This window comes from Homo sapiens, chromosome 11 (genome assembly GCF_000001405.40).
Source record: "Homo sapiens chromosome 11, GRCh38.p14 Primary Assembly".
Lineage (NCBI taxonomy): Eukaryota > Metazoa > Chordata > Mammalia > Primates > Hominidae > Homo > Homo sapiens.
Genome location: NC_000011.10, coordinates 72,037,431 through 72,055,573, shown reverse-complemented (window position 1 = coordinate 72,055,573; position 18,143 = coordinate 72,037,431). Strand labels below are relative to the sequence as shown.

At 45.6% G+C, this 18,143-nt stretch overlaps 1 protein-coding gene and 1 pseudogene across 52 annotated transcripts in view, besides 5 other annotated features; both read left to right on the top strand.

The window, feature by feature from the left end:
* The window catches only part of NUMA1 (nuclear mitotic apparatus protein 1), a 77,679-nt gene that overhangs the window by 24,969 nt on the left and 34,567 nt on the right, over positions 1-18,143 (top strand). For 8 of the 52 annotated variants that reach the window (XM_047427019.1, XM_047426999.1, XM_047427008.1 and 5 more), the window contains exon 3: positions 6,035-6,155. The exons of 24 other annotated variants lie outside the window; for them this stretch is intronic. The gene's annotated coding sequence lies outside the window, so the exon portion shown is untranslated. Of the gene's footprint in view, positions 1-6,034; positions 6,156-13,604; positions 14,147-14,436; positions 14,616-14,762; positions 15,255-15,765; positions 15,840-18,143 lie in introns of those variants that run through there. 20 more of the 52 variants (XM_047427020.1, XM_047427001.1, XM_047427011.1 and 17 more) reach the window with 6 other exon arrangements.
* On the top strand, positions 7,605-7,701 carry LOC124902815 (uncharacterized; annotated as a pseudogene).
* Positions 13,212-13,995: an enhancer, noted in NCBI's record as "H3K27ac-H3K4me1 hESC enhancer chr11:71752625-71753408 (GRCh37/hg19 assembly coordinates)". NCBI's record gives its function as "activates a minimal SCP1, AML or CMV promoter by ChIP-STARR-seq in primed H9 embryonic stem cells {active_cell/tissue: H9 hESC(primed)}" and the evidence as "EXISTENCE:reporter gene assay evidence [ECO:0000049][PMID:30033119]".
* Positions 13,542-13,621: an enhancer, noted in NCBI's record as "active region_5178". NCBI's record gives its function as "activates an Ori minimal core promoter by ATAC-STARR-seq in GM12878 lymphoblastoid cells {active_cell/tissue: GM12878}" and the evidence as "EXISTENCE:reporter gene assay evidence [ECO:0000049][PMID:35858748]".
* Positions 13,712-13,761: an enhancer, noted in NCBI's record as "active region_5177". NCBI's record gives its function as "activates an Ori minimal core promoter by ATAC-STARR-seq in GM12878 lymphoblastoid cells {active_cell/tissue: GM12878}" and the evidence as "EXISTENCE:reporter gene assay evidence [ECO:0000049][PMID:35858748]".
* Positions 13,996-14,781: an enhancer, noted in NCBI's record as "NANOG-H3K27ac-H3K4me1 hESC enhancer chr11:71751839-71752624 (GRCh37/hg19 assembly coordinates)". NCBI's record gives its function as "activates a minimal SCP1, AML or CMV promoter by ChIP-STARR-seq in primed H9 embryonic stem cells {active_cell/tissue: H9 hESC(primed)}" and the evidence as "EXISTENCE:reporter gene assay evidence [ECO:0000049][PMID:30033119]".
* Positions 15,262-15,341: an enhancer, noted in NCBI's record as "active region_5176". NCBI's record gives its function as "activates an Ori minimal core promoter by ATAC-STARR-seq in GM12878 lymphoblastoid cells {active_cell/tissue: GM12878}" and the evidence as "EXISTENCE:reporter gene assay evidence [ECO:0000049][PMID:35858748]".

Below are 18,143 nucleotides of genomic sequence, written 5' to 3'. Positions count from 1 at the left end.
TTACCAGCATACCATTAGCCCCTTCCCAGTCACTATCCCCCTATTGTTTTATTTTTAAACACAGTGAAACTATACATAGGGATGATGACTCTTGGTTCATAAGTGAGTGGCTCATGTTATCTCAGGTGAGTCTTCTGGAAAGAGCCCCAGATTAGGAGCCAGAAAACCGTGGTTACATCGTGGCCCGGTTGCTTTTTAGCTGTATGACCTTAGACAAGGTAAACTTAACTTTTCTGGACTTCATTCCTCTTTGGTAAAGTGAAAATAATAATGCCCTCACCTTAAACAGCTGTTGTAAGGTTCATCTGACATTATTGGTAAACAGGAAATACCTTGTAAATGGGAAACACTTTGTTAGTTGTAAAGAGCCATACACAAATAATAGTCATTTTTGTTGAGAGCTGTGGAATCTCAAGCAGAAGAGAAAATGATGATCCCCAAATCTATTCTCTTTATCACCTTTGCTGTCTCATTTTTTTTTGTTGACATTGGTGTCACTGTCTTTCTGTTAAATTCTCCCAAAACAAAAATAATATAAAGGTCCTAACAGGAATCCCCAGAGATCTGGAATTTCTCCTAAAGTTTTTTACTTCCTCTCTTAATGCTGATGCCCACTAGATCTATGCAAGGCAGAGACCTTGGTAAATCAACAAACTTCAATCGCAAATGCGTACATCACCCATTTACAGGCCTTACAAGCAAGCATGATCTTCTCATAGACACTCTTCTGAATTTATTCAGTCTTCCAAATGGAGCCCAGATCCTTATCTCTAACCCCAAATCATATTTTTCATTAGTTACTGATTATTTCTAACTGTATATCCAGTAGATATCTCACGTCTAAGACCTAACTCTCAAACTGCTTGCCAATATAGCAAGACGGTTTAGATTTTGGGCTTGGAGTGGGACAGTCTTGGATTTGAAACTTAATTCTGCTACTTATTAGCCTCATGATCTTTGCTAATGAAGATCATGACAGTTGCTTAACATCGTGAAAGATTTATTCTATAACTTGAGGGTATTAATAGTATTTGCTTGATAGGGGTGATACTATGTTCAAATGAATGGAAATTGTTATTGTTACTCTTACATTTTTTTTTTTTTTGAGATGGAGTTTTGCTCTTGTTTCCCAGGGTGGATTGCAATTGTGTGATCTTGGCTAACTGCAACCTCCACCTCCTGGGTTTGAGCAATTCTCCTGCCTCAGCCTCCCTCGTAGCTGGGATTACAGGTGCCTGCCACCGTGCCCGGCTAATTTTTTTGTATTTTTAGTGGAGACAGGGTTTCACCATGTTGGCCAGGCTGGTCTCGAACTCCTGGCCTCAAGCGATCCACCTGCCTTGACCTGCCAAAGTGCTGGGATTACAAACGTGAGCCACCGTGCCCAGCCACTCTTACATTCTTATCTTGCTTTTTGGCACACATGTTCATTTATTTGTTCACTCAAGCTAGGAAATTTAGAGGTGCTTCAAGAATTTTCCTTTTCTCATTCTTCATTTATACAGTTGTCCCTCAGCATCTGTGGGGATTGGTTCCAGGACTTCACACAGATACCAAAATCCTTGGATGCTCAAGTCTCTATATAAAATGGTATAATATTAGCATATAACCTTCACACGTCCTTCGTATAGTTTAAATCATCCTTGGATTACTTATATAATGCAATGTAAATACTATGTAAATAGTTGTTACATTGTATTGTTTAGAATAATGACAAGAAAAAAAAGTTTATACATCTTCAGTACAGATGCTTTTTTTTCCCTAAAATGTTTTTCATCTCAGGTTGGTTGAATCCACACATGTGGAACCCATGGATACAGAGGGCCTACTGTAATTGGTTGTCAGGGCCTGTCATAAATAGTTCTCAAAGCTATTGTTGCATCTTTATTGTCATTGCCTTACTTCAGACATACATTACTTCTTGCTTGTAACAGACAATGGTTTTTGCACTGCATTCTGTAAAGCTTTACAGAACTATAGAACTGACTTAAGAACCAGGGGGAAGCAGAGGGAACAAGTCTCCAAATATCCCTTACTTCAAACTGTCTTCTTCTGTGTGTCCTGGGGTTCTATATAAAGGTTACATTTAAATAGAGTTCATTTAAAATATATAGTTTGGAACCTTTCATTCATTCAAGAAGTATTTATCAAGCACTCATGCTGTGCCAGCCATTGTGCTGATTTCTAAGAATTCAGCGGTGAGCACACAGTTTGTGATTTCATGGAACTTAAGGCAGTAAGAGAAAGATAAATTAATAAAATACAAAAAGGCGTAATTAGGAACTATGGGCTGGGCACAGTGGCTCATACCTGTTATCCCAGTGCTCTGGGAGGACAAGGTGGGAGCTTCACTTTAGTTGAGGAGTTCGAGACCAGCTTGGACAACATAGCAAGATCCTGTCTCTACAAAAATTAAAAATAAAATAGCCAGGTGTGGTGGCTTGTGCCTGATAAAGTACTATTATTATTCCCATTTTACAGCTGGGGAAAATGAGGGCACAGAGAGAGTAAATAACTTGCCCAAGGTTGCAGAGCTATTAAGCTATAAACCCAGAATTTGTATTAGGTTGTCTTAAGTTCAGACCTTGTAATCTTAGCCATTATGCTCTATTGCCTTCCTCCTGTGTCTTACCATTCCAGTCTGTACTTTATACAGTTTCCCTTCTGAAACATAGCCCTGATCATGCTGCTCCCCTTTACCCTCTTCCTTTAGAAACCTTGATTGTCTTCTCATCACCTACAATTTCTTAGTATGAGGCAAGTGCCTCACAATTTAATATTACTTACCCTTGTTTTTTTTTTTGAGATGGAGTCTTGCTCTGACTGGAGCACACCAGACTGGAGTGCAGTGGCATGATCTCGGCTCACTGCAACCTCCACCTCCTGGGTTCAAATGATTCTCCTGCCTCAGCCTCCTGAGTAGCTGGGATTACAGGCATGTGACCACACCCAGCTAATTTTTGTGTTTTTAGTAGAGACGGGGTTTCACCATGTTGGCCAGGATGGTCTCAATCTCCTGACCTCATGATCCACCTGCCTTGGCCTCCCAAAGTGCTGGGATTACAGGCGTGAGCCACCGCCCCTGGCCTTACTTATTACCCTTCTTATCATCTGATGCACCTCCCTAAAACTGCATGCCATTGTTCAACTGTAATATGGTCTGTCTTTGCATGTGCTGTTTTCTCTGCCTAGAATGCTTTTTTACTTTTTGGTGAAACTCTACTTATCCTGCTCATATTTTAATATCTAGCTTAAATGTCACTTCCTCTATAAAGCATTCCCCATCATCCCATCCTGAGTTAGTCCCTCACGCTCCTTTAAACCAGTACCTACTCTTATTTTCTCGTTCTGAAATCTTTCCATGAAAGCAAGAATCTTAGTGTTCTCTTTAGCTCCCCACCTTTCCCACGCCCCTATATGCTAAGAGCATTGTCTCTACGTCTGTAATGCCTTTCAGAGCCACCTGTTTTAGTTCCTACTGCCCCTGCCCTGGCAGTGCAGTTTTCTCTCTACCTCTGTCGCTGCCACCTAAGTCCATTTTCTGCCTCTGGCCTCACTGTTGTGCTAGAGTCATCTTTTCAAAAAGCACAAGTAGTATACCATTCTCCTGCCCAGGACTTTTCAGTGCCTCCCACTTCTCTTCAGTAAGTCACCCTGGGTTGTTGGTCCCCACTAGCCTTGCTTGTGTTATCTTACCTTCCTTTCAGCACACCCCAAGCCCATGTTCTTTGGCTTCATATTATGGTTACAGATGTGTCTCTTCCTCTACAAGATTATAAACTCAAGTTTAAAGATTTACCCTTGGGCCAGGCACAGTGGCTCACACTTGTAATCCCAGCACTTTGGGAGGCCAAGGTGGGCTGATCGCTTGAGCTCAAGAGTTTGAGACCAGCTTGGGCAAATGGCAAAACTCCATCTCTACAAAAAGTACAAAACTAGCTGGGCATGGTCCTGCACACCGGTAGCCCCAGCTACTTGGGAGGCTGAGGTAGGGAGGATCACTTGAGCCTGGGAGGTGGAGGTTGCAGTGAGCTGAGATTGCACCACTGCACTCCAGCCTGGGCAGCAGAGTGAGACCTTGTCTCAAAAAAAAAAAAAAAAATCTTTGAATTCCTAGCACAGTATGTAGGATGTTTATATCATGTTTATAGTCGAATATCCCTGATTAAATTTCATTAATTCTAAGTAAAGAGTAACATATCTTATGTATTTTGGAGAATATGTTTTGATATAAAGAAAGAGCTTTGCCTTAAAAGGGATAAATTTCAGTTAGTAGGAAAATTGCTTGTGTGAAATTTTGTACTTCTCAGTGATGCCAGATACGTAGGATTTATTTTCTCTGATGGTGATCACGTTATTTATTAGCATCTTTAAAAGTGTGGATAGGACAGCACGGTGGCTCACACCGTTTAATTCCAACACTTTGGGAGGTCAATGCAGGCAGATCGCTTGAGCCCAGGTGTTTGAGACCAGCCTAGGCAACATAGCGAGACTTCATCGCTACTAAAAATTAAAAATAGCCAGGCGTGGTGGCGCGTGCCTGTTGTAGCAGCAGCTACTTGTAAGGCTGAGGCGGGAGGATCACTTGAGCCCAGAAGTTTGAGGTTGCAGCGAGCTATGATTATGCCACTGCACTCCAGCCTGGGTGACAGAGCAAGACCCTGTCTCAAAAAAAAAAAAAAAAAAAAGGTGGGTATAGATCTGGTGCCATTTAGACATCTGCATTGTCCTTTTCATGAGCTGTGGCAGAAGCAGTGTGAACAATGAATGCAGAAATGCTTTGTATACATGAAGACCTATACTGATGAGAAAGATAGAGGATGTAGCTGAGATGTGCTGGAGAGAGCACTGGATTTAGAAGACATCTCTTTGAGTTCTGGCTCTGCAGCCTTACCAGTCGACCTTGAGGCAGGTATTTTCTTTTTACTGAGCCTTACGTTCCTAATTTATAAAATTGGAATAAACCTTGCCTCTTAGGGTTCTTTTGGGAAGATTAATTGAGATGTGAGACACAGCCTTCCTTAAAAATCCTGAAGTTTGTTCAAATCCCTAGCACAGTATGTATTTTAGGGTTTTATTTTATCATGCCCATGTTAGACACCATTCCCACTTATTTCACTTATTAGTAACATATTGACAAGTTGGTTCTTGAGGCTATCTGTCTTCCTGTTTAGAACTCATATTCATGTTTGTTCATTTCTATCAGTGATTAAAGGCATTCTGGTGTGGAAAAAGGAAAAGTGGACCTGGAACCAGAAAGACGGGTCTCAGTGCTGTGTAGGACAGGGATGATAAAGTAGAGAGGTGGGGAGGAGAAGGGGTGAAGACCTAGGTATAGAAAGCTACTTTTCTTTAGTCTGTTTAGACAGATGTAGTTATAAATTGCATTTTGTGGCTTTTATTTATGAAAAGCTGCCTTGTAGTTCCTCGAGTGTGGCTCCAATCACCTTTCATTGTATGCCATGCTAAGTTGGTACTACCAGTTTCCAAGGACCTCCTCCTTTCAACAGAGTATTAATGAAGCACCCACATGTGCCTCGCTTTGGGGATGGGTCCTAATAGGGTAACACACAATGTGCCTGTTTCTAGGAGATTTGCTATTTTTTTTGAAAGAACACCCTAACTAGTGATGTTTTGACCAGATTCTGAGGAGACAAGTTCTACTACAAGATTTGTTGTTGAGAATGGTATCCTGTGGAAAGAATCATGGGAATTTTTGGAAGTGGAAAGGTACTTTATTTTATTTTTTTAGAGACAGGGTCTCACTCTGTTGCCCAGGCTAGAGTGCAGTGGCATGATCATAGCTCACTGTAACCCCAAACTCCTGGGCTCAAGTGATCCTCCCACCTCAGCCTCCCAAGTTGCCAGGACTACAGACACATAACCGCCATGCCTAGCCAATTTTCTTTTTTTGATATATATCTATTTATTTATCTATCTATAGATAGATGAATAGGCAAATATATATATATATATACACACACACACACTATATATATATATATATATATATTATTATTATTTTTTTTTTTAGACAGGTTCTCACTATGTTGCCCACGCTGGTCTCAAATTCCTTGGCTCAAGTGATCCTCCCATCTTGGCCTCCAAAAGTGCCGGGATTACAAGCATGAGCAACTGTGCCTGGCCCTGAAAAGGTACTTTAGAGCTGATCCGACCCTAGCTTGGTTCTCAGTAATTTGCCTCTGTGACTTGCATTAAGCCACATAGCTAGTAAGTGACCCATCACCCCTCCAGGGGCTTTCAACACCAGATCTACTATGTTTTCTACCACTATGGAGGCTGTCTCCAGTAAGAGTATTCCCCCTGCGTTTCAGGTTCTTTCACATTTCTTATAATTAGTTCTGTGTTTGTGAGCAAACATTGTGCTAGATATGTTGATATGTTGCCTGTAGGGACAGAGCCATTTTACTCCTCTGTGACAGTGAAACAGGGTGGAGAGGTTCTTAGCTGTTTTGTAGAAAGGCCTTCTTGAGAGAGAACTGAGTGGGCCTGTTGGATGTTATAATGAATCCTCTCTGGGTTTTGATTTGCCCTCTGCTTTTCTCTCCAGGAAGCCTCAGACTTACCAACACTGCCTCATTAATCAGCCATTATCCTCTGGAGAGGGACAATGAGGCCATGGTAAATAAGCTCAAGGTCAGGCTCCTGAAACAGCAGTCCTTCCCTTTAGCACCAGCATTTCCTTCCAGCCTCCCCCTCTAACCCTTGAGACACTGCCAACATCCCTCCTAGTACAAGACTTTTCTTGGTGCTTGCTGTTTTTAGAGGAGTTTTGGCCCTTCAGTGTTTGTAAAGCTCTCGGATCCTCAGAAAAAAATTCTTTAGTGATTAATTTTGAAATTGGAGCTGTTTGATTATTTTGATTAAGAAGCTGATTTTCGGCCTGGCACGGTGGCTCACTCCTGTAATCCCAGCACTTTGGGAGGCCCAGGCAGGTGGATCACCTGAGGTAAGGAGTTCAAGCCCAGCCTGGCCAACATGGTGAAACGCCATCTCTACTAAAAATAAAAAAAATTAGACCGGCATGTTGGCGAGCGCCTGTAATCCCAGCTACTCGGGAGGCTGAGGCAGGAGAATCGCTTGAACCTGGCAGGTGGAGGTTGCAGTGAGCTGAGGTCGTGCCATTGTACTCCAGCCTGGGCGACAAAGCAAACTCTGTCTCAAAAAATAAAAAAAAGTTGATTTTCATGAGGAAAAGCACACGGCTTCTTTGATTTGCTGAGAATGTGCTAGCTTTTATTCATTCACTCAATGATTGCCTATTTAACAGCTGTAGACAATAATATAGGCTGGCTGGGTGCAGTGGCTCATGCCTATTATCCCAGCTACTCGGGAGGCTGAGGTACAAGAATCACATGAACCCGGGAGGCAGAGGTTGCGGTGAGCGGAGATCGCAGCACTGCACCCCAACCTGGGCGACAGAGCGAGACTCCATCTTGAAAGAAAAAAACAAAAAAGAATAATATAGGGACAAGGTAGACAACTTACTACTTACATGACTAGATCACGTAGGTCACCTAATTCCTGAGCCTCAGATTTCTTCATTTTTAAAACTGCCCAGTGCTTGGTTCGGCAGCATGTATACTAAAATTGGAACAAAATAAAATAGGAACGATACAGAGATTAGCATGGCCCCTGTGCGAGGATGACATGCAAATTTGTGAAGAGTTCCATATATTTTTTAATTTTATTAAAAAAATAAAGTAAAATAAACAAAACTGCCCAATACAATGCCTTCTAGTCTTTTCTCTGTCACTTACATCCTGGCATAGTAAAGACTATCATTATCGTTGCTGTTACTGTTGTAATTCGTAGCTAATCCAGAGCCTGTCCCCTGCGGTCATCTTGTCTAATTCTCAGGACAAACTGTAACTTTATAGACCTGCCTGGCAGAGTGGAGGGTTTGGGTAAGGGAATAACGACTCTAGAAGCTAGAACTCTAGAAGCTGCAGGTCATGGAGGGCCTTGAGTGCCAGGCTAATTATTTGTGTGAGAATCATCCCATGGGGATGACTGGGGACTTGAACTCTCCTAGTACTTATTTGTTTTTGTTTTTGTTTTTTTTTGAGACGTGTCTTGCTCTGTTGCCCAGGCTAGAGTGCAGTGGCATGATCATAGCTCACTATAACCTCAAACTCCTGGACTCAAGCAATCCTCCCACCTCAGCCTCCTGAGTAGCTAGGACTACAGGCACACACCACCATGTCTGGCTAATTCTTTTATTTTTTGTAGAGATGGGGATCTCGCTATGTTACCCAGGCTGGTCTTGAACTCCTGAGGAATTTGAACTCCTGAGCTCAAATTATCCTCCCACCTTGGCCTCCCAAAGTTCTGGGATTACGGGCATGAGCCACCACACCCAGCTCCAGTCTTTTTTTGTTTAAACTTTCAAAAATGATAATGTAAATCCTGATGCGATGGCATGTGCATGTAGTCCCAGCTACTCAGGAGGCTGAGGCAGGAGGATCACCTGACCCTTTGAAATAACCTTTGTGCTCCTAACCAGTCACCACCCCGCTTCAACCTCTATCTGAACTCTACTGAAATTTATTTATTTATTTTAATTTAAAATTCTTTTTTTTTCTCTTTTTTTGCAATGGAGTCCCACTCTGTCACCCAGACTGGAGTGCAATGGCGCAATCTCAGCTCACTGCAACCTCCGCCTCCCGGATTCAAGTGATTCTCTTGCCTCAGCCTCCCAAGTAGCTGAGATTACAGGCTCCTGCCACCACACTCAGCTAATTTTTGTATTTTTAGTAGACATGGGATTTTGTCACGTTGGATAGGTTGGTCTTGAACTCTTGAGCTCAAACAATCTGCCCACCTCGACCTCCCAAAGTTCTGGGATTAAGGCATGAGCCACTGTGCCCAGCCCTCCCTACTGAATTTAAAGTAATTTCTTTCCTTCCTTTCTTCTCTCTTTTCCTTCCTTTGTTCCTTTCTCTCTCTCTCTCTCTCCCTCTCCCCGCTCTCCACCCCTTTCTTTCTTCTCTTTTTCTTCTTTTTTTGAGATGGAGTTTCACCCTTGTTACCCAGGGTGTAGTGCAATGGCACGATCTCGGCTCACCACAACCTCCGCCTCCAGGATTCAAGCAATTCTCCTGCCTCAGCCTCCCGAATAGCTGGGATTACAGGCATGCGCCACCACACCCAGCTAATTTTGTATTTTTAGTAGAGATGGGGTTTCTCCATGTTGGTCAGGCTGGTCTCGAACTCCTGACCTCAGGTGATCCGCCTGCCTCGGCCTCCCAAAGTGCTGGGATTACAGGCGTGAGCCACCGTGCCCGGCCCTTCTCTTTTTCTAGAAAGGTTTTACCACTCCTTTCCCGCTCTTCTGAGGACAGTAAGAATCAGGCAGGAGCCATGTGGCCGCCTGCTGCCTGTCTAGGCTGTGAGAGGGGCTGTGGAAATTCTGCTGCTGCCACAGGAGGGAGGAAGAGGAGGGAAAGCCTGGCGAAACTGGCCAGGCTCCTTGGGCTGTCCTGAAGAGCTGGCCCAGAAACTTGGCAGCTTTGCAGAGGGGTTCTAGGGGAAGGTTCAGCCTCTCGGAAGCTGCACAGCTGGAAGCTGTTGCCTTGAGTTTAGAGCAAGGGGCCAGGCTGGGGAGACCTCTTGTACGCTTTTGAGACAATATCAATTCTATCTGGGCTAGGAAGCTTCAGGGCTGATGCATTGCCATATGTGGCCAGGGCAGTTTTAGCAGGCCTCCCTCCTATTTTCACCTTATACATTTTCTGGAGCATTGATAATGCCAGTCTTTAAATTAAGTTTGGCCAGGCCTGTGATGGCTCATGCCTGTAATCCTAGCACTTTGGGAGGCTGAAGCAGGCAGATCGCTTGAGCCCAGGAGTTCGAGACCAGCCTGGGCAACATGGTGAAATTCTGTCTCTACAAAAAAATACAAAAATTAGTCAGGCGTGGTGGCATGCACCTGTGGTCCCAACTACTCCGGAGGCTGAGGTGGGAGGATTGTTTGAGCCCAGGAGGCTGAGGCTGCAGTGAGCCATGATTGTGCCACTTGCACTCAAGCCTGGGTGACAGAGTGAGACTGTCTCAAGAAAACAAAAACAACAAAAACCCAAACAATTATGTTTGCCACTTTGCTTTTCTGTAAAAGTTTTGGTATCTGCTTTGCCTTTGCTTTCATGGTGCTCCTTTGGATAAGAACTTCCATTTCTACTAATAGTGATTGCTAACTACAGACTACAAATGATACAGTGGGAATAGCTTACAGGGCCTGGAAGAAGCAGCAGGTGATGGGGAGCCTACAGCAATGAGCCTTGGTCTGACCCCCACCCCCACCTCATCCCAACCACCCACCACAGTCATTCTCTGGTGGCCAGAAAGTTGAATTTGTAAACCTGACATCCAGATGTAGTTTGGAGAAGCAGATTTAAGGAGCCCTAGTGTGCTAGGTGTTATGGGGGATCACAGAGAGAGAGAGGTGGAACTGGTTATGCCCTTGAGGAATTTCCATTCTAGATGTGAAGACAAGATTTTCATGCATATACACATAAGTGCCAAGAGTAGGAGGTAGTTACATTTTTCTTATCACCAGTGTAATACAAGATTATTAAAAATAAATGCAAGGCCAGGCACAGTGGCTCACACCTGTAATCCAGCACTTGGGAGCCTGAGGCAGGCGGATCACGAGGTCAGGAGTTCGAGACAAGCCTGGCCAACATGGTCAAACCCTGTCTCTACTAAAAATAAAAAAATCAGCTGGGCATGGTGGCAGGTGCCTGTAATCTCAGCTACTTGGTAGGCTGTGGCAGGAGAATCATTTGAACCCAGGAGACAGAGGTTGCATTGAGCTGAGATCATGCCATTGTACTCCAGCCTGGGTGACAGGGCAAGACTCCATCTCAAAAAAAAAAAAAAAAAAGCAAACATACAGCATAGAAAGTCCCCAAGTGAATGTTCCCTACAATCTAACTCCTCCCCCCCCCCAAAGTAACCCCTGTTAACTGTTAAATATTTGAGGAGTTAGGAATATTAAATCAAATATATTAAATATTTGAGCTGGACCCTAAAGTAAAATCTAGAGAGGCAGACTGATGGGAAGAAGGCAGACAGACAGAGGATCCAGTCTCCTGCTCCAGGCAGAATACCCTCTCTGGCTTCCCAAACAATTGGTGAGCCAACTTCTGCTTGGACACCTTGGTGACAAGGGACCAAAATGCCAAGTAGGAATTAGTCTGCAGGAAACACCCATCCTATGCCTTACATGCTAGCCAGTGTGTTGGACACCTTATAGGTGTTATTGAATTAATTTTCATTGCTTTATAACAGGTGTCTTTATTCTTGTTTTACAAATAGGGATACTAAAGTTCAGAAGTTTCTTGCCAATGTCAAATAGTTAGCAGCATGTGGTAGAGACTTCTGCCATTTACTTGCTATGTGATCTTGGCAAATTATTTAATCTTGTGGCTCAATATCCTCCTCTCTAAAGTTGGGTGATAATGGTACCTACTTCATTAAGGGAGTTTTTAAGATTAATGAGTTCGTACATATTAGGTCAGTAGAATAGTGTCGCGTACATAGTATGCACTCAGTAAGCATTAGCTACTATATGTCTTTCTGTCTCTCTGTTTATCTATCTGTCCATTTATTTATGTATTTATTGAGACAGAGTCTTGCTCTGGCACCCAGGCTGGAGTGCAGTGGCATGATCTCTGCTCATTCCGAGTTCAAGGAATTCTCCCACCCTAGCCTCCTGAGTAGCTGGGACTCTGACACTAAAAAAGACACTAATTTGTTTCTAAATCATGAAGTTTTACTGGTTATCTTATATGTAAAACATTTTAGCCTATATATTATAAACTGTAGCCAATGATTGTGACCTCTATAGTATAGCTCCTAGTAGAAAAAGACAAAGACAACTGTGGGCCAGGTGTGGTGGTTCATGCCTGTATCCCAGGGCTTTGGGAGAAGCATAGAATTTTTAGAGAAGAATTTAAAATAATGCTGTGCCTAGGCAACATAGTGAGAGCCTGTCTCTACAGAAAAAAAAAAAAAAAAAAATTAGCCAGGCATGGTGGCACACACCTGTACTCCCACTGCTTGGGAGGCTGAGGCAGATGGATCACTTGATCCCAGAAGTTTGAGGTTACAGTGAACTATGATCTCGCCACTGCCCTCCAGCCTGGGTGACAGAGTGAGACCCTGCTTTAAAAAAAAAAAAAAAAAAAAAAAGAACTCCGCCTGGCTAATTTTTTGTTTTTGTTTTTTTGTGTGGTTTTTTGTATTTTTTGGTAGAAACAGGGTTTCGCCATGTTGCCCAGGCTGGCCTCTCAAAGTGCTGGGATTACAGGCGTGAGCCACCGTGCCCCACCAGCTACTATTTATTATACTCTGTTTTCTCTCTTGTTCTGACATCCTGTCATCTCCTCAGTTTAATTCTGCATATCATCCCTCATACTTTCCTCCCCTGTACAGTTCCTCTCTCTGCCTCCTATCAGTTCTTTACCCTGTCTCCACAATGTCTCTCACTGCAGCTTCCACCTGGGTTCAAGTGATCCTCCCACCTCAGCCTCCCAAGTAGCTGGAACTGTAGGTGCGGGCCACCACACCCGGCTAATTTTTTATTCATGAAATTTTTTGTAGAGATGGGATCTCCCTATGTTGCCCCGGCTGGTCTCCAACTCTCGGACTTCAGTGGTCCACCCAAAGTGCTGGGATTACAGGTGTGAGCCGTCGTGCCAAGGCCCCTTTCCATTCTTTCTTACCTTACCCTCTTGTGTGCCCTCATTACCTGTCTCCTGACTGTGCAGCTTCCTGACTCACCTCATTGCTGCTAGTCTCATTCAGGTATATATCAGAATAAACTTGGGGCACAGTTTTTGTCATACCACAGCTCTGTGTTAATAACAAACAAACTTACAAGTCTTTGATTCCTTGGTTTGAGGTTCAAGATTCTCCTAGCTCTCTGACCCCACCTCACTCTTCAAGCCCTTTCTCCCACTGCTTCCATGCCTCCTCTCTGCTTTCTCTTCCTCCCCACACCTCTCTGTTTCCATCTGGGGAAATGCTACCTGTGTGTTTCAAGGTCCAAATTAAAATGGCACTTCATTTTCGTAATCCTTCCCTATTCTAAACTGGTTAGAATTTTTCTTTACAGCTTTTATGGAAGTTAGCACACCAGTTTGAAATTAATCTTCAAGTCATATTTCTTATCTCCTGTGAATTACAACCTACCTCAGTGCGGATGCTGGGCTTAATTCATCTTTGTATACTTCCTACAGTTTCCTATAGGAGTGCCTTACACATAGTAGGTGCTCAGTAAATGTTTGTGGCATAAGATTAGGGGGTGCCTGTTGACCATCTGGTGGGCTTCCCTTTCAGCCTTGGTGAAGTTCGCTATTCAGTGGGGGGAAATGCTGTGATTTTGTCTTCTAAGAGTCAGACATCTTTTGTTTTCAGCCATGTAGGAGAAGCAGAGTCTACAAGTCCCCGTGCCTGCGTCTGTTAAGGGCTGCAGCCAGTGCCTGGCGTACTCGGTCTCGTGCCTTGGCCCCTCAGCCCCTCCCCATAAATGCTCAGCGGAACAGGGGATTAGGTTCTGGCAGCACAGCTGGGATTTTGGCGGCCATTCCACAGCCGACAATAGCACGCAGCACAGGACAGCGCAGGCCTGTACTCCAGGGCCAGAATCTGCCTGGGCTTCTTGTTTGGGTGGCGGAGGGGGAGGAGCGGGCACAGCACGGCATCCTGGCCTTGCCACGCAGAAGGTATGGGCTGGAGAGATTCCCTCGGGGAATGGATTTAGTGGGTGGCCGTGTCCCAGAGCAGGGCAGGCGGTGCCCATGGAAGGTGGCAGGGCGCTTTGTGTGTGAGTGGCATGGTTGTACTTAAAGACACAGCCTGCCCTGGGGCCGGCAGGAAGGTGCCCCCGATCAGAGGGCCTGCATGTTGCTTGTTCTTCAAAGCCTCTGTTCCCGGGTCTTCCTCCTTGCCCTGCGGTCCGCCAGGCAGGGGCTGATCTAATTATCAGGACAGCCCTTGTCCTACCCTTCCATTGCTGTCCAGAGAGATGGACAGATTATTACTGCTGCCTTAAACTCTGGGTGGAAAACAGAGCGAAGGGGGAGTGTCCGGTTGATCCCAGTTTGTCAGGCAGGCCACTGTAAGATGTGTTTTGTGTGTTTATGCCACAGTTTGCCTTGGCTCTTGCTGCTGTTGGAGTTCAGTAATTTTGCCTGCCTGCTTGTGCCTTCACCCTCAACCCGCCGCCCCCATTCGTCCTGCTTTTCTTGTTCGTGGACCAAGCCTCCAGCCTTCCCCTTTGCAGCCCCTCCTCTCCAGTGCACCCCCTCCCTCTGGGCCCCACCCCCACTGAGAGTCCCCTGCTTGCTGTCGCTCCCAGATCGGGGAAGCTTGCTGTGCCTTTAAAGAAAGCAGACTCCTGGCTGTGACGCACTTCTGGCTGTCAGCCAGGAAGATCGCTCCTGCCAGGCAGACTGAGAAGAAAACCAACAACTTTTCTTTTGTGTGTGGGGTTACTTTCCACTGGCCCCCCCTTCCTCCTCTCCTTTCAAGATTTAAATGCTAATGGCGGATTAAAACCTGTAGATACGTTTGGCTTTAGGAGTCTGGTAAGGCCCCCCCGCACCGAGACTTTTTCTCCCTCACTCTTTCTCTGGGTTTTTGTTCAAACATGGACGAGGGGGTGGGGTGGATTCTCCCCCCTCACCTCCCTTTCCTGCGCCATCCTTAAAGGGGAGGGAGAGAAGAGGGAGAGCAAGTAAACATACTCAGAAACAGGCGCTGTGGAGCAGAGCTTGCCAACATCCGGGAGTTGGCGCCTTTCAGAGCAAAGGGTTGCTTTCTTTCCCCCTTGCGTAGATGTCAGCATGTTTTTGTTCAGAGAAGGAAAGCGTGTTTGCCTGCACGTTGAGCTGTAGAGACAGCTCAGGAGAGGGCTTCACCATTTCTGCGTGAGGCCGTGGGTGTGTGCACGGTGGTGGGCAGTGAAAAAAGGTTCATTTTGTCAGCTGATAGGGACCAGGGTGTGTGAATATAGTGGTGGGGGGCCCAGGTCAGTGTGTGTGTGTGTGTGTGTGTGTGTGTGTGTGTGTGTGTGTGTGTGTGTGTGTGTGTGTGTGTGTATGTGTACGCGCCCCAGTACAATACATGGCTGCAGGCCTGGTTGCAGGTCTGGTTCCTGATTGCAGCTCTTTTGCCATCATCCTGATCTGGACCCTCCAGAGAACGGGGAGAAGGGGCAGACATCTGTAAGCCACTTTTGAAGAAACCAGAGAAGCTTGGTTTCCTCTGTAATCCCTCCCTTGTTCCTCTCCAGGGCTTTGGGGTTCTGTGCCAAACTCTAGGCTACAAAGATGGAGTGGTCTGTGTGAAGAGGAGGCTTCAGCCCAAGCTAGTCCCTTTAGATGGACCAAACTGGTTTGCCCCGACCTCAGGAAACTCTTTGGACTTGGACCAGACGGTCTACCCAGGACTCCCCAGGAATTGAGAAAGATTGTTTTTCTCTGTATGGCGTCTCTTGGAGCCACTGGTCCTCTTGCCTTTTATCTTCTCAGAGGCAGGGGATGTACCAGCAAAGTATTTCCTATGCTGTTTTTATAGCTTATTAGCCTAGGGCAAGGTGGCTTGGCCCCTCTGGGTAACCTGCCAGGTGAGATCTCGGTGTTTGCTTGCATGTGCCTCCTGGCCTATCCGTCCTAGAGTTGGAGGAGGAGGAGCCCCAAGATCAGGGTTTTCACTCTTTGGATGTGAGTGTCTCTCAGATGGGGAGTATCTTTCTAAGAAAGGGGTACAGAGCATGGAATTCTTAGGCTACAGGCAGGCAGCGTCTCAGGGTAAGTGGTGGTAAATTTTGCAAGTGAGCACTGGCGCACAGATGGGGCAGCCATTTCCTTTGTGAGCTGTGAGGCTGTAGGCCTTTGGAACTATCAGGTGGAGAAGGGGGTGGGGTTCTGGGAAGGACCCTTTGAGGTGGGAGCTTGTGTGGGCTTTGGGCCCTGAAATTCTGGGAGTGGGAGTTAGCACTAAGAGAATGAGGGTTCAGCAGAAGCAAGGGCCCATGAGCTGAGAGATCGGTATAGTTTAACAACTCTCTGGGACCAAAGGTCACTTTGGTGTTATCTTGAGGTAGGTCTGGTGTTCCCTTGATGGGCAGTAAGTGGCTAAGAGGCAGTCTCAAAGGAGCTGGCACCCAGGCCAAGGGCGGGGTAAGGAGAGCAGTGCTGCTGCAGCTCAGACCCTCTGGCCTTTGGCCTATCACTTGTTCTGTACTTAAAACTGAAGCTTTTTCAGAACAGACTTCAGAGCTCAGCAACTTGACCCTCTGGTCCTGCTTCTTGTGTCTGAGCAGGTGGTTTACATTAGCCTCAGCCCTGGTAGGAAATCATGGCTAGGCTTTAACTCTTTAAGGTCCAGAGAGGGTACAGGCAGAGTGGCTGCGTGTCTCTTTAGTGTCACTTTCCTTATCTTGATATTTATTTTCTGGAAACAGGGGTTACTGTAAATGTGGGAATTTGTCCTGATGTGGGGGAGCTGCATTGTGTCAGTTTGGGAAATGTAAAAAGGATGCAGGGCCTTAAGTTTATAACGCAACTGCTTCTGTGTCCTTGGTTACTTCTTGAGACCAGGGAAAAGAGAGGGTGCCTTACCAGCTCGGTGAGGCCTCTGTTTTAGATTCTGGGGGAATTTCTTTCTCAGAGAATCAGGTAGATGGGAACTCCAAAGGTGCCCTCAGAGGGCCTGGCCTTTTGTTTCTTTGTTTATTGAGTGAGGGTTGTGGGGGGGACGGGGGGTGCCTGATCCAGCTGGGGTGGATCTCAGCAGATCCTTCTGTGAAATGGTTCCAGGCTACAATCGCAAGGATCTGTTTTTCCATCAGCATCACCCAGTGTACTGGGTGGGGCCTGCCTCAGATTTCAGGGGGAGGGTGGGGAGGATGGTACTCTGGCTGGGAGCCCTTGGGTTCCCAGCCAAAGTCTGCTTAAAGCTATAGTCCCAATGTAGAAGACTTAGCTGTGCTCCTGGCTTCAGTCATTCCTTACCCAGAGAAGAGGGAATGGCTGGGGCTCTCCTGAAGCCTCTCTCACCCTGATGTTCTGTCTCTAGGAAAGTACCTCTTTACAGGCTTAGAACTGAAGAGCAGACAAGGTCCTTCAGGAGTTCCTAGTGGTGAATATTGGGTTCCTCGTATTTCTGTGCCTGGGGAACACAGAAAAGAATATTTAGCCTTGACACTCATTTTCTTGAACAGTGGAACTAGTTTTAGACAGGCTCTCCTGGGAGGACCTCAGGGTTGTATGTTTTGCCTCTGAGATGAAGAGGTTGGTTAAACCTCAGGACATTTTTAGTAGCACAGCTGTGAGTCTTTCAAAGGGGGCAAGATCTGCCTACAGTTGCAGATAAAATTTCGAAGTGTTGGGCCTCATCAAAAGGACTGCAAGTCTATAGGCAGCAGTGAGGATGGGGGAGCGGTGATCTCAGCCTCATTCCTTGTGATTTAATAGCTCAGAGGCCTTTTTTTTAAAGAAACCCCAGTTGAGTGTCTGGCTGTTGCCGCCCCACCACAGAGCCAAGTGTGGTCCCTCGAGCTTTAGTCTTGTCAGCCACAGAAAAGCCTTATTGCAGTGCAGTAGTTGGGGCTATCTGCATCCATCCATGCCTGGCCTCAAGGGCTACATAATCTTGCCCATGGATAGGGTATACTTGATGATAATTATCCAAGACTGAGGAACATAAGCCCCTTAGCTTTTCTGCCCTCCTGAGAGCTCTCTTAACCATTTCATTTGCCCTTGCCAAAGCCCAGGTGAATTGGCTCAATTCCAAGACTGATGCTGGTATGACATGTGGAATCATGTTGGATGTTGCAGGGTCAGGAAGCACTTAATTGTAATTAGCATTTAGTTATATTTAGCATTTAATTATTTTCTTCTGTTAGTGCTTCACATATGTTTAATTTTACTCCCTACCCTGCTATAAGCCCCTCAAAGGCAAGGACCATGTCATTGTCTCCCATTTTCCATGTGGCTTCTAGCACAGGATGATCTTTTTTTTTATTATTTTTTTTTGAGACGGAGTCTCGCTCTGTCACCCAAACTGGAGTGCAGTGGTGCGATCTCGGCTCACTGCAAGCTCCGCCTCCC